The sequence below is a fragment of the Homo sapiens genome, chromosome 2 (genome assembly GCF_000001405.40).
Source record: "Homo sapiens chromosome 2, GRCh38.p14 Primary Assembly".
Taxonomy (NCBI): domain Eukaryota; kingdom Metazoa; phylum Chordata; class Mammalia; order Primates; family Hominidae; genus Homo; species Homo sapiens.
In genome coordinates, this window is record NC_000002.12 from 31,866,153 (window position 1) to 31,881,942 (window position 15,790).

At 33.7% G+C, this 15,790-nt stretch overlaps 1 protein-coding gene across 22 annotated transcripts in view; it reads right to left on the reverse strand.

The window, feature by feature from the left end:
* Positions 1 to 1,670: 1,670 nt before the first annotated feature.
* The window catches only part of MEMO1 (mediator of cell motility 1), a 143,186-nt gene continuing 129,066 nt past the window's right edge, over positions 1,671 to 15,790 (reverse strand). For 21 of the 22 annotated variants that reach the window (NR_126034.4, NR_163996.2, NR_163998.2 and 18 more), the window contains 2 exons: positions 3,696 to 3,800; positions 1,671 to 2,340 (listed from right to left, as the gene is read on the reverse strand). Coding sequence is in view for 16 of the 22 variants with exons in the window: in XM_047444636.1 (XP_047300592.1) it covers positions 2,209 to 2,340; positions 3,696 to 3,800 (237 nt within the window). In the remaining 6 variants the exon portion in view is untranslated. The remainder of the gene's footprint in view (positions 2,341 to 3,695; positions 3,801 to 15,790) is intronic. The other variant, NR_163995.2, reaches the window with a different exon arrangement.

Consider the following 15,790-nt stretch of genomic DNA (forward strand, 5'->3'; position numbering starts at 1 on the left):
AAACAACCGATTGTTATGTTAACCAACTGTCAAAGATTAAAAAAATAATGATACTGGTGAAGGGGCAGAATGATGGGTACTCATACATTGTTAATTTAGTACAATCTTTCTAAAGGGTTATAACTTGGAAATATTTTAAAGAGCCTAAAAAGTTCTCACTGTCTAAACCACTTATTCCATGTACATGAGTATATCCTAAAGAGTCTAATATAGAGATGAAATTTTACAAACAAGGATGTCTATCCCACTATTATTTATAATGGTGAAAGATTAGAACAACCTAATATCCAAAGAGAGAAGTAGTTAAATTGTGGCATATTCATACAATAGAATATTAGGCAGCCATTTTTAAAAGTCACATTTTCATAGACATGGGTAAATATGTATGAAGTTAGGTTATAAAAAACAGGGTACATAACTATATGGTCAGTATAATCTCAAGTTTGTTATTACACACACACACAAACACATGTATACACACTCATACATAGAAATAGCACAGACAAAGACTGAAAAGAAATACAGAAAAATATTAACAGGGTTATCTCTGGGTAGTGAGATTGCAGATAATTTTTTCTCTTTATAACTTTTCAGTAATTTTCAAATTTTCTAAAATAATCATGTATTAGTCTTATACTCAGAAAACATTATTTTAAAAATTCACTGTTGTCCATTTTAAAATTTTATAGTTCATATTAAACAAGAAATAAATATTAATAGTACTAAAAAGTGTATCTAAATTACGGAAAATAAATCACTAATGTGTAAGAATATAATTTCCACACATACATAGGTGGGCGACTTTGAATCTAAAAGGTAACATTATTTTATTTCACTCGAGTATAGAAAGTTGATATTTAATAAATAAGAAACATAAATCTTTAAATAAAATTGGTGCAAGGCATCTAAAAATTGTGCTACTCTGGCATAACACTGGAGATATAAACACTCTCTAATATAATGTAGACACTGTTAGGTTAAAATAGGTATAATGCAGTACATACATGGTAACTGAATTATTAACTAAATTATATCTTTTTTTTTTTTTTTTTTTTTTTTTTGGCGAAAGTGACTAGAATTGGTCTATGCTAAAGAAAGAAAGAAATACAACATCATACCATTATTTTAGTTGGAAGAGCCGCACCAAAAATCATGACAAAAAAAATTGTGTAACCATAAGAAAATCCAGTGGCTTGTTGTTGTTGATGATGTTAATGATCTCTGGCTAAAAATTCAAGTAAAAGAGTCAAACTGCTTAAAGCATTAAAAAAGCACAGCAGTGTAAGGTCTGCAATGATTTGAAAAACACTAAGAACACTCTTCAATGTTTCCTCATTTGCAGACTATCAAACATGATCTTTGAAGTCAAGGATTACATCTACGTTCTTTTACCAATCTTGAATATATATTCTGTTACAATATAGTAATGACACAAAGGGATGTCACAGACAAAAAGGCAAACTGCATGTAATTTAAAAAGTTAACTTTAAGATCATATGATTCTAATTTCTGATTTAAAAAAATCATACAAATATATAAAATATAAAATACATCCTAATATATTTTTACATAAGAGCTGAGGTTTACCATTTTTAACAAAAATTCTGAGATGGAATTAATAAAAAACAATTTTCATATATACCACAGAGCAATAAGTTTAAATCAGACTATTTTGAGTTGTGTAGCCCTTTATTAGCAACTAAAATAGAAGGTATCTGTTGTACAACATGGGTAGTAATTGACTATAACTGGAGATTTATTATATTCTAATACAGATCATTTATAAATGCAATTTCTTTATTAAAAAGCTTCCACCTTTTTGTTTGTTTGTGTACAATTTGCAAAACTATTCTGAAAGCGGAATATATGTGCACAAGTCTGCAAAGAGTGCAAATTTAGGATATGGTAAATGCTTTACAAGTTACTTTCAAAAAACTGTCTGCCACAACTGAGCCTTTACATTGTCATCTTTTTTGATCAAAATATTTTGATGCCAGCCTTCCTTCCACTGCCCTAAACTATAAAGCATTTTTTAATGAGTTGAAATTAAGGAAGGACTACACCTACTAGAAAAAAAGAGAAGAAAGTTCTATTAGTTTGAGGTTTCAGAATCCCCCCAAACCAGGACCAGTATCGTGGTAAAGGCTAGGCTGGGACCCCGGACAGAGTATGAGAATGTGCAGGTGGCATCCCTGAGGATTCAGAGCTTCAGTGGACCGTGAGTGCTCCAGCTGCATAACTCACTGAACTGTCTTGCCAGTTTCTACACTGGCTCGACTGGGCATAATTCAAAAACGAAAAACTCATATTCATTCCATTCTTCTGGAGCTCTGTGATAGCCTAGAAAAAAGAAAAATTTGGTTAGGACACACATCACATAAAAAACTGGGCACTCAATGTGTTTGCGGTTTGACTTTGTCCACTTCACAGCTGAAGCCTAGATTATCTCTTTTGCTCTTTTGTTTCTTGAATTTCTCTTGTTGCATCATATTAAAATAGAAAAAAAAGAATTCCTTATCATTTTCTCAAATAACTTCTAATCTTGTTTTTTGATAATTAAGTATCAGTCATCATTTACCCTCCCTCTCCCTGTAATAAGGCCATTTTTTAAACCCTTTTTAACTTTTTAAATATATTTCTCTTTACCGTATAAACCAAATCCCTGGCCACTTCTGTCTTAAGACGTCGGAGTCTTTATCTGACTTTGACTAAATTTGAAATGTATACAAATTAAAATCCAAATCTAAAAGGTATATGCTAGGATTTTTACTTTAATTGTCGATTGGTTCAGCATTTACTTTATAATACAAATTTTATTTGATTCAATTCAGATTTTAGGAAATTAGTACAGTTTATTCTAGCTTCAATTTTCAAAAATTAGTTTAAGTTCTTGAAAAGCTTTTCTTTGAGTCAATCAATACAGCTTAGAAGAAAAACCCTTCTTAAAAACCCACAATATATTACCTTTCAAATCACATTAAAATAATACTGGACTTAAGGTCCTAACTTAGTCTATTCTGGACTACATTATCTTCTCCATTATTTCCCTGCCTCTCCAAATAAGCCCATTGTTACTTTCTCCTCCCATTCCTGAGTATACACTTTCTTCTTTCTTAATTAATGTCATATTTTCATTCAAGAAATTAATAGTTTTCCTAATTAGAAGAAAAAAATGCTATTTCTTTTTCTAAAATCCAGCTAACCGAAACTTCTGACTCTTACCATTCCTTAACTGAAATAAACATTATTTTTGTTTTAATGAGAAAAACACACATCATCTGTCTTGCTTTATTACATTATGAACATTTAAAGTTTAAGAGCAGAATCTTCCACTTATTTTTTATAGAGTCTAGACCAGTAAATAAAACCAAAAAATTAATAAGACCATATCTCTTAAGAGGTCACTTTGGTTTGTATTTATAAAGAGCATATTGGAACTAAGAGTCAAGAGAAAATGTGGGTCTCTATTCTAAATAACTTTTTGTATTTAACAGAAAGTATTGAACTGTATTCCAATGATAAATAACTTTATTCAAGTAACCAAAAGCAATGGAACTCCAAATTATATTAAAGATACTAAAAAGAAACTTGACCATAGGTACATAAAACCAATGATGCCATTGTATCACAATGATAATATTTTGGAATATCATATGACCAAATGTTAAAAGTCAAGGCTTCCTAAGGATACTCACATTTAATAACACCCCAATGGGATGTCTTCCACATATAGTATTATGGTATTTCTTCAAGTAATTGCTAAAAGATACAGGGTCTAATTGTTCTATAATACTCATACCCTAAAAAAAAAAAAAAAGAAGAGGAAGAAAAAAATAAAAGAAGAAGACAATATTTATTATTTCCTAATTATATTTTAAAACTGTTACTTAAACATAATTCTTCAATTAGGGAGACACAAAGAAAACAGATTAAATAAACCTTGTGAAACATCAAACTCATTCATCAAAGCTATTACCACCATTATAGTCAACTCTCTATTAACAGAAAACTTTTAATCCCCAGTTTATTTTCTCCAAACTCCAGGTATGTTTCTATACTACTTTAACCAGTTGTCATTTAGCTCACAATCCTCAAACATTTCATAATATTATATCTTTCTTCCATAGAAAGAATACACAAAAGTAAATCTGCTGTGAAAATTTGTGTATGAAACCTAAAATTTAATTTATTTTGTGGCTGTTTTCTCCATATCCATTATATTCTGCCTCCTATTGGCATGAAAAATCAAGAGATAATTTTAATTGAACTATTTCCATAACATATACTTAAATATCAACCATGTAAGGTATTTTAAATCACCAGCATTAAATAATCTAGGTTTGTGGAAAAAAATGACACGAACTAAGAAAAAAGTTAACATATTTTAATTAATTTAAAGCTCATGATAAAGGCAGGCTTAAGCAACACAGATCTCCTTTTTTTAGATGGAGTCTTGCTCCATCACCCAGGCTGGAGTGCAGTGGTGCGATCTCAGCTCACTGCAACCCCTGCCTCCTGGGTTCAAGCAATTTTCCTGCCTCAGCCTCCTGAGTAACTGGGATTACAGACAACACACCACCACACCTAGCTAATTTTTGTATTTTTAGTAGAGACCAGGTTTCACCATGTTGGCCAGGCTGGTCTTGAACTCCTGACCTCAAGTGATCTGCCCACCTCAGCTTCCCAAAGTACTGGGATTACAGGTATGAGTCACTGCACCCGGCCTACAACACAGGTCTCTTATGAACAAGATTAATAATAAAGGAAAGCTTTTTATCTCTTTATTCTTTAAGCCAGAATGCCTTGTTTTCAACATCTTAATACATAATAAAATTTGTTAGACTATTGTTAAAACAACCACTATGACTTGAACATTAGTTTACACTAAATTCTGCAATCTCCAAATACATTCAAATAATGTATTTACAACTCATTAATATAGAGCAACTTTAACTCACCAAGTCGGGGAAATAAATTATTGATTCTAGCTAATTATACATACACCAATTATATTATTTTCTTATTCAGTTAAAACACTTTATATTAAATAAACTGGATTCATACTCTGTGGGAGAAATGCAAATGGTGGTTTAACTAGGGACTTAACTGGTTATTCTGTGTTTTTGTTTTTGTTTTTATTTCACATTTTAACAAAACAGGTATAGTGTAAAAGCACCAAGAGTAATCAGATAAACATCTGTTAAAAGTAAAAGTCATCTGGAAAATGACAGCAATCAGTGGGTAACATAGAAATTTTACAGTGGCAGCATCAAAATTTAATTCTATAAAAAAACTTTCCTTCAGAATATTCGACTCCTTCACAAACATTATCAATATTCCATATATACACACACACACACACACACATATATATATATCTGAAACATAGACATATACATGTGCAATCAACTTTGAATTGCTTGCACATCAATTAGCCACTCTCAGATTGGTCCACAATCAGTTTGTAATGCTAAGTTGGTTGTCCCCTGCCAATCACAGGACTTCCAGGTCAACACTCTCCACCGACACTTGGTATATAAGCTCAGAGAAATACAAACTTAAAAGTTAAACCTAAGATGGGCCAGGTACAGTGGCTCATGCCTATAATCCCAGCACTTTGGGAGGCCGAGGCAGGTGGGTCACCTGAGGTCAGGAGTTTGAGACCAGCCTGGCCAACATGGTGAAACCCTATTTCCACTAAAAATACAAAAATTAGCCAGTCATGGTGGCACATGCCTATAATCCCAGCTACATGGGAGGCTGAGACAGGAGAATCGCTTGAACCTGGGAAGCAGAGGTTGCAGTGACCCGAGATTGTGCCACTGCACTCCAGCCTGGGCGACAGAGCAAGACTCTGTCTCAAAACACACACACACACACACACACACACACAAAGTTAAACCTATATAAACTATATCATAATTCTGATGCCAAAAACATTACAGTACATTTCTAACCCAAGAATGGATTGTAGTAATGCAGAGATGGAGTTATAAATCTCTTCCATAAATAATGGATGATCAAGATATAACTCCCCTAGAGATAAATGAACAGAGGCACAAAACAGGCAAAAGTCCTGATTCTAAATTTCTAATTGTAGGCTCTTTCTCACTCTCTACTCTGATGTACTAAAGTATAACAAGACTCATACTAACAATTCTTTGAACACTTACATAGCTACAACTTGCATACATGTTGTAGGTGAACTTTTAATACTCCTGAATGAAGTCTATCTAGGACAGCTTACCTTATAAATCCACTCATTAATAAATAATGTGACACTGAGATTCTAATGTACATTTTAATATTAAAATCTCAAAGCACATTCAGAACAAACATCACATTTATATACTGATATGAATTTAAACAGAAGAAAACTAATCACATTTCAGAAGACCAAGAATTCAAAGTAACTGGTCAAGAAAACCTAATATAGAAAAACAGGAGATTAAATGCAGAAAAAATACTACTAAGTAAAGAGTTAAAAATGAAGATATACTGGTTAAATTACAAGACAGAAAATAAAAAATTGAGATGATGGGAGTTAAGAAATTAAATGTACAAAAATTTTAATTCTTTAAAGTGGGCTATAAACTTAGTAGTGCAAAAATTAATTCAATTATACTCAGCTGACACAAGTGATGGTTTAAGAGGTATGCCTCTTTATAAGGAAAGATGGGAAAACTAAGGCTTTTCTCATAAGTGAACCTCTCTAATTGAAAAATTCATGAAGTATGCAAACAAAAGCAATAATGATAAAATTTAGAAATGGAACATTATTAACTAATACAGGATACTGGCAAATACACTTCTAGATATACCTATGTTTTTATGTTAACAGCTATGAGATTACTATTAGGAAAATTCCAAAAAGATAGAAATGCTAGTTCAATGCTGTTGGCAAAAGTCCAAGAAGATGAAAAAGAATATCCTTCCCCAATTAGGCTGAATTAACTGTTTTATTTCTTAAAAGAGTAGAAGATATGATCAGTAAGTCTAAAGTCCAGGCAATGAGAGCTTCCTAAGGCCTAGTATAGTGAAAATTTGATTGTTCACATAAACTTAACCTAATGTGGAGGAGTGAAATGGGTCACTATACTACCCATTCAGCGCTAAGATATAAGGCAGACATTATAAACACCAAAAGCCCATCCATCAAGGATACAGGTTTCTGAGGAATTTAAGTTTCAGAAACAAATCCACAAATTGAAAGCTAACTCCCTAAATTTAGGGGGTGAGCCAGTCTATCATTGTGTTGACTCTTCAAGTAATCAGTGAATATTTGTGATGTCAAATTCCAAGTGGCAACCCCAAACTAAATAGGCAGTATTAACTGACAAAGCTCAGATTCAGGACCCTGATAAGACAACAAATTATCTTCCCTCTTTAAAAAAGTTTACCTATATTTAATAAAATGACAATCTAAAAATTATCACCCAGAAGGAAATCTCTCCCAAAAGTAACAAATGCAAAGGAGTAGCAAAACATTTTAGAGGCACTTACGAAATAAAAACCAGAATCATATCTTTTAATTCCAACCACATAATTAACACCATATTATCAAATCATTAGATTTGTGGGTTTATAGTTTAAAGGATATATATTTATATTTGCAGATAAGTATACATTTAGTGACATGGGGTAGGAAAAGGAAATATTCTAGTTTCTTTAAGAGGTATCAAGATAAAATAGTAACAGTGAAAGTTTTATGGAAAAAACTCACCTTAAAAATAGCAGTGCTAAGTAATGTACTAATAAATGGCTATCTTATAAGTGATGTTATAAAACTTACTAAAAAGCTATTGGCTTAGGTTCAAGAGAAAGAAGTATGAGGTGACGAAGGAACAATTTTCACTTTTAAAACAGTAGGAAGGAAGAAAAGTAGTTCACATTCAAATTAAGTGAAGTAACTGATAAATTTAAAAGAAAAAGAAGTTATAACAGATGAATACAATGACATTTTCAGATTATCCTTGCCGAATCATAATTTGCCAATGTCCATAATGAAACACTGGTCTACACCAAAAAAAGTAGTATAATAAAAATGATAACCTATGACCATCTCATATGAATAACTATGACTAATATTTCAAGTAAGTAAAGTTTACAAGATCAGTATCTCCAACTAGGTTCTGCTTTAGTCACAGTAATTATTGACATTGCAAAGCACTAATTACCAAAAACACTGGTCTATAGCCAATAAAATTACAAGACTTTCAGAGTTTAGATATCCTATGCTACAGTTACATAGTTTTTCCCAACTACATTCGGTAGTTTGTTCTCCTATATTTTATGTGTTTTTTCACATAATTAATTTCTAAGATATTCAAGTGCTAGAAATATAAACATTTTGCAATAAGAATAGCTATTTTTCTTTTGCAACTTAGTTTTATTTTCTAGCCTTGTAATAACTATATTTAGTAATAGTTTTCAGTTAAAAAGGACCAAAACTTAATTAACATGCTAATTTTGAACAGATGTAATCTAAAATTTTATACTTAGTTTCTTTTTACTCTATCAAACTTCCAAAATGTATATTATTGGAATTCAAAATTAACATTTTTATAATGCTTATACAGAGAACCATCCAAGTACATTTTGTCTGAAAAGATCACATATGAAAACTAAGATATTGGTTCTCAAATGATTTAAATTATTTATAATATAAAATAATCTCTTAGAAAATAAATATGCAAAAGTACATTCACCATCTGATTAATCAATTAAGACAATACAATATTTAAGTCTGCCTAACAGCAAGTGTACATATATATATACATAGGTAATATAAACACACCTAAGTTTATGTCTAGAGCTAACCATACACGGGTCTTATTATTTTGACCCATGTATTCTAACTCCCAGAATTGACTTATAAGTTGAATCAACAATATACTAATAAAATAGAACACTTATGAGCCATTTAAAAATTCTATATATAAATAAATATATCTCAACAAATGGACCACAGAAATAAACTCCAAGTCCAAATGTTAAAATCAAATATTAAATTCAAGCATATTAATATGAAGCAAATACTCAATATTTATTCAGAAATCATATTCCAGGGTATTTAAATAAAATTTTTAAAATTATGTTCCAGTAATTTGGGATATCTAAAGTAAGGTAAATCAGATGCAAACTTAGAAGTCAACCTGGGCTAAGTGGTTCTACTGTACAATTTATTCCCTTTTTTCTTTTTTGAGACAGGGTCTCAGCAAATTTCAACAAAGTACCACAAGTGAGTTCTGTTGTAATGATAAGGTTAATGATTACTATAGTAGGCAATCTCATCTCTGTCCTGGCTTTAATGATCTACTGAGACCTCCCAAACTTACATCTCTAGTCCAATTGAAAGCCTTCCTGAGTTCCAAACCAAAATAGTCAACCCATTAGCAAAGTCCTTTTGACTCTTATTTCTGAAAAGATCTGACCTCCATCCACTTCATTCTACCTCCACCAACATCACCACAGTCCAAGTTACTATCATCTCTCCCTTGAACTTCTGCCAATGGCCCATTGTTGCTACTTCCTTTATTTTTTTTCTTTTTGAGACAGAGTCTCAGCTCTGTCCCCAGAGCTGGAGTGCAGTGGTGCAATCTCGGCTCACTGTAACCTCCACCTACCAGGTTTAAGCGATTCTCCTGCCTCAGCCTCCCGAGTAGCTGGGACTACAGGCATGCACCACCATGCCCGACTAATTTTTGTATTTTTAGGAGAAAGGGGGTTTCGTCATGTTGGCTAGGCTGGTCTCAAACTCCTGACCTCAAGTGATCTGCTCGCCTCGGCCCCCCAAACTGCTGGGATTACAGGCATGAGCCACCGCCCCCAGCCCCATTGTTGCTACCTCTGACCCTCCTGTGTAATCCATTTGCCACACAACTACCACAGTGACCTTAAAAATAATTCAAATTATATCATTTCACTTCCTATTGTACTTATATAAAGTTCTTACCTTCAATTATTACCCTATATTATCAGCTCCCTGCCTCTTTTATACACACCACTCTTCTTACTCTTACACACCATACTCCCACAACACAGGCTTTTTCCTTTTCTTCTAACACACCAGCTTCTTTCCAATCTTAAGGTCTTTGCACTGGCAACTTCTCCTGTCTAAAATGCTCTTCCCGCTGATCTTTACTTGATTTGCTTTCTTATCATTCAGAACTCACTTTAATTTTCATCCTCAAGGTAGTCTTTCTCAGACCACTCAATCCAAAACAGCCTCCAATCATTTACCATCATTTACCTTTTTAGGTATTTTCTGCACACATTCCTACTTGAAACTAATTAATATATTTCCTTACCTTTTAAAATTAACACATATCTCCTCCAATTAGAAGTTTTATGACAGCAAGAACCATGTTTGCTTACTGCTGTATCTCCACCAACACCTCAGGATGTATATGTACTCAAAAATAATTGGCAAAATGAAAATCCAAATGTCTACCTAATTGACATCTCTACTTAGATGTCTTAAAGGCAACAGCAAACATAACATATCCCTAATAGAATTTATTATCTTCCTGCCCCACCCCCACCAAAAACATTTTGGTCCTTATGGCCTAAATAAATAATGCAACCATCGAACCAGCAGCATAGCCAAAAATTTAGGAGTCATCCTTGACATTTCCTTGACCCCCCAAGCTCAATCCACCTCCAAGTCCCATCATCAATTTGTCTCCTAAATGTACTGAATATATACATTTCTGTCCCTCTCTTCTACCACCATCACCCTACCCACTGTCTAAATTACCATAGTTTCTCATCTGGACTACCTAACTGGTCTACACGTTATCTCTTCCAGCCTCCTTCCAACCCATTTGCTACACTGCAGCCATATGATCTATTCAAATACAAAACCAACTTTATCACTTCCCTATGTAAGATCCTTCAAGATAGCTGTTCTGGAGTCTTCAAGTTTCACTTCTCACCACCCTCCCCATCCATTTATCCAGCACTCATTCAACAACTGTATATATTGTGTGCCCACTGACAGGCACTAGGATGGGAAATGGACAAAGTCCCTGTTCTCATGAAGCTTACGTAATCCAGTGAGGGAGATAACCCCAAGACAAATCAACAAATGAGTAAGTCATGCAGTAATAAATACCTAGAATAAAAATACAGCAGGGTAAGGCCAATGAACAGCTGTTCATCCAAGGAGGCTAATGGAAAATGATGCACGCTTTTTGGCTGTCACAATAATTTGAAGATGCTATTGGGACTCAGTGGGATTCCAGGGATGCTGACACAAGACAGTTTCATACACAAAGACTGTTCTCCATCCATAAGACTACAGAATATCTACAGCCTTAATTATCTATACATTAATTCCACTTCATATACAAACAGAAATAAGTTTTGCATTGATTTTAATATACAATGAGTTTCCCAGGAATAAAACTATCATGTAAAGTGAGGGAAGACTGTACTGGTTTTGTTTACAAGTTTACTAAGAATTGTTCACCATTTTGGAAAATCAAGTCACTAGCAATGGCACTTAGTAATTTCAGTCACTAATACATACGTGTGTAAGTGTGTATTTGAAGCTGTTTTTACATTAATAATACTATTCATAAATATTTAAATACTTCATTGTACCTTCTAATTTAGTTGTGACTGGGCATTTACATTCTTAAATATATATTTATTATAAATTCCTTTTATTTCCTTTACATGTTACAGTTAGGAAAGTCATGGTTTTAAACTGCGTACAGGAAGATTATATCCATTAATTTATTCATTTGAAAAATATGTATTGACCACCTACTTATATTCTAATCACTATTCTAGGCACTTTGTATACATCGGAGAACAAAACAAATATCCTGATTGACAGAAATGTAATTAAGTATTTAGTTTTTTAGAAGAAAAAGTGGAACAGGGTACGGTGGACTGGGAATGCTGCAAGGGTAGGATGTAGGATGCAAAATTAAATAGAGTAGTCAGAAGGCCCCAGTGAGAAGGTGAGAGCTAAGCAAAACGGGCAAACGCCCTAAGCTAGGCAGATACATGACATTATCAAGGCACAGTAAGGAGATTAGTGTGTCCACGGTAGAGTGAAGGAAGAGTAAAAGTAAGAAAATGGAGGGCTCTTAACATTTGGGGGCTGCAAATCATGTTGGTCCTTTTTGTCTACCCACTGTAAAGACACTGGCTTTTATTCTGACTGAAAGGGGGCAATTTTACAGGAGATATGGGGCAGAAGAGTAACATGATCTGATTTAGATTTTAAAATAATTGCTTTGGTTCCTACTTTAAGCCACCTGAGACTGAAGAATACCAGGGTAGGTCTAAGAAGACCAGTTAGGAAAGTGGAAGGATAGGACCACCATCATTTGAATTAAGAAAGCCTATGAGTAGAACAGGTCTTGGTGGGAAGAAAATCAGGAATTCCGTTTGGAATATGTTTAGTATGAGCTGTTTATAAGACATCCAAGTGGAAATTATGTACGGTGTTTGAGCACGTGCTTCTGGCAGGAGTTCTTTTATATTTTTGGTGCAAAAAGCATTACTTTCATAAAATTTAGTACAAACTTGCTAAAGACCATGTCCAGGAAGACTTTATTTACTTTGAAAATTTTTAGTACTGAGGTATCTTTCAAAATTATTTTCTGTATGGTTACCTAACCAAAAAAAGACAATTTTAATGACGGGAAAATTTACATGCATACCATTAATAATTTATATTTCACATATATGCAGCCATTCCTCCTTAGAGATTCTTTCCTAAATGAATAAAATGTAACACAAGAAAGGTTAAACCGAGGAGAAACGAGAATCATATAGCTGATATAATCTTAAGTCAAATCTCTCCAATACCTCAAATTAGGGATTAATGTTACTGGAAATTCTGAAGTAATCTCATAGTTTCCATCTTTAAAAACTCCTCCTGTGACTGTGTTTCCCTGGATCTCGTCATCTACCAAATCAGTTAACATTTAAACATTGCTCCTTTCTGTCATACTCAAACTAGTAGAGAATAATTTTTCACATTTGGTTTTTGCCTCTTCATTCCAATTTAGATTCTAAGCTGATTCCACTGAAACTGCTCTTGCAAGGTTCTTAATTCACCTCTGTGCAGCATTTGATACTCTTCCTCCCTCTTTGCTAAATAAAGCTCATCCTCTCTGTGATATTGCTCATTCTCAGTTCTCTCTAAGCAGAACTCTACTGGCTCTGCTTTATCTCCTCTTCCACTTAATGCTGGTATGTCCATCTGATCTAACTCCCCCTTTGTTCCTACTCCTTATACTCTCTCTGGAGATTGACTCTCTAAACAATGGCATTAACATCCTTTCTTCCCATCCACTCCTCATACACCAATAATTTCAAAATGTTTATCTCCATCCAGACCTACCTTCATGTTCTAAACCAGTACTGTCCAATAAAAATATAATGCAGGCCATATATGTAATTTTAAAATTTATTATAGCCATATTTAAAAAATAAACAGGTAAAATTAATTTTAAGATATTTTATTAAACACAATCTGGCAGTATCATTTTATAATATAATCAAGATAGATTTCTGAGATATTTTTGTTCTTTTCATACTACATGTTCAAAATCCAGTGTATATTTTACACTTACAGTATATTTCAAGTTGTATAACCACACTTCAAATACTCAATAAATACATGTGACTGGTGGCTACAGTATCAAAAAGTGCAGTTCTAAACATAACACAAAACCCATGTATAAGACTGAACTCATCTTTTTCCTTAAATCTGTCCCTCTTATATTCCCTGTATTAGTGAGTATCAGCATCTATGTACACAAGGAAGCCAGAAATCATCCCACATCCCACCACTCCCTTAACATGACACACCTAATTAATCCCTAAAGTCCTTTTCATTCTACCTCCTAAATGTCTCTCAGCTCTCTATATTGTAATGGCTTCTTTGTAAGTATGTTCAACCACTGGACTCCATTAAGTCACGGACTATGTTTTCTCTTCTTTATGTCCTCAATACTGCACAGAGTACCGGACATATAGCAGATACCCATTAACCATTTGCTTTGACAATCATTAATCATTTGCTATATGGAAAAAGCCAGAAAAAGTTTTCTGAGGCAACTGAGAACTAAACCTCAGAATAAAAAGACTAGAAGTCAAAGGAGAGTTAAACAACTGAAATGAAAACATCAGGAAGCCAAAAAGAAGGTAATACATTAAAATCCAAATAAAATTCTAAAGGTAAAAGTATTGGACAATAATTGGATTTAAAGTAGCAACTAAGGTAAGTTTAAACATGATAAACACACTAAGTAACCAACTTTACATTCATTACATTTGGCTTTAATAAAATATACTACATGATATATTCTATTTATACATTCAAATCCAGATTCCTTACTAAAATATTTGATCTACTTTAAACCAAATAATCTTGTACTAAAACATATGCATAAGGCTTAACACATTGGTAGAGCTGATTTGAACAAACTGAAGACTTACAAGCTGACAGAATTTAAAGACAATTTAGAGACCATTTAGTCCAAGTCTATCTTCTTCCAGATAAGGAAATGAAAACTAGAGTATTAAAATAATCTGTCAGTGGTCATAGAGAGCAAGTTAGAGCTGTTCTGCTATATTTAATACTATTTATGAGTAAATCCTAAAATTATTTGTGTTATTTAAAAAATTAAAATAAGTATCATCAGCTTAGACAACATGGCGAAACCCCATCTCTAAAAAATAAAAATAAAAATAATTAGCCGGGCGTGGTGGTAAATGTCTATAGTCCCAGCTACTTGGGTGGCTGAAGTGGGAGGACTGTTTAAGCCCAGCAGGCTGAGGCTGCAGTGAACTGTGATTGTGCCACTGCACTCCAGCCTGGGTGACAGAGGGAGACACTGTCTCACAAAAAAATAAAAAAAGAAAGAAAAGAAGGAAAAGAAAAAATATTATGACTACCATGGCACTTCAAGAAAAAAAGACAGTAGGATCAACATCTACTGTACTCCTTAGCTAGGTAAGAATATAATTATATTTAAAAATTCTGTGTTTAGAACAACGAATTGAAATTCCTTTTAAGAAAAATCCAGGCCAGGTGCAGTGGCTCATGCCTGTAACCTCATCACTTTGGGAGGCCAAGGAGGGTGGATCACTTGATCTCAGGAGTTCCAGACCAGTCTGGGCAACATGGCGAAACCTCGTCTCTACAAAAAACTACAAAAAAAAATTAGCCAGGTGTGGTGGTATGCATCTGTGCTCCCGGCCACTCAGGAGACTGAGGTAGGAGGACTGCCTGAGCCTGGGAGGTTGAGGCAGCAGTGAGCCATGATGGTGCTACTACACTCCAGCCTAGGTGATAGAGTGAGAGCCTGTCTTTAAAAAAAAAAAAAAAAAAAAAAAACAGAAAAAGGAAAAAAAGAAAAATCCAAATGGCCCAAAAACAAGACAATACACTAAGAATTTGTAAAAAGAGCAAAAGGACAAATGAAGAGAAAAAAACAAATTATTTGCATCTGTAAAAATAATTTTGTTTTCTTATGCTTTTTTTATAGCTCTTTTTAATAGATACCTGAAGGCTCCAGGCCATAAAGTTCAAGTCTTAATATGTGCCAAGTGCGGCAGCTCACACCTGTAATCCCAGCACTCTGGGAGGCAGGAGGGTTGCTTGAAGCCAAGTGTTCAAAACTAGCCTGGGCAATAAAGCAAGACCTTGTCTCTACAAAAAAAGAAAAGAAAAGAAAAAAGCTGGGTGCGGTGTCACATGCCTGTAATCCCAGGACTTTTGAGAGGCTGAGGCTGGCAGATCACTTCTGCTCAGGAGTCT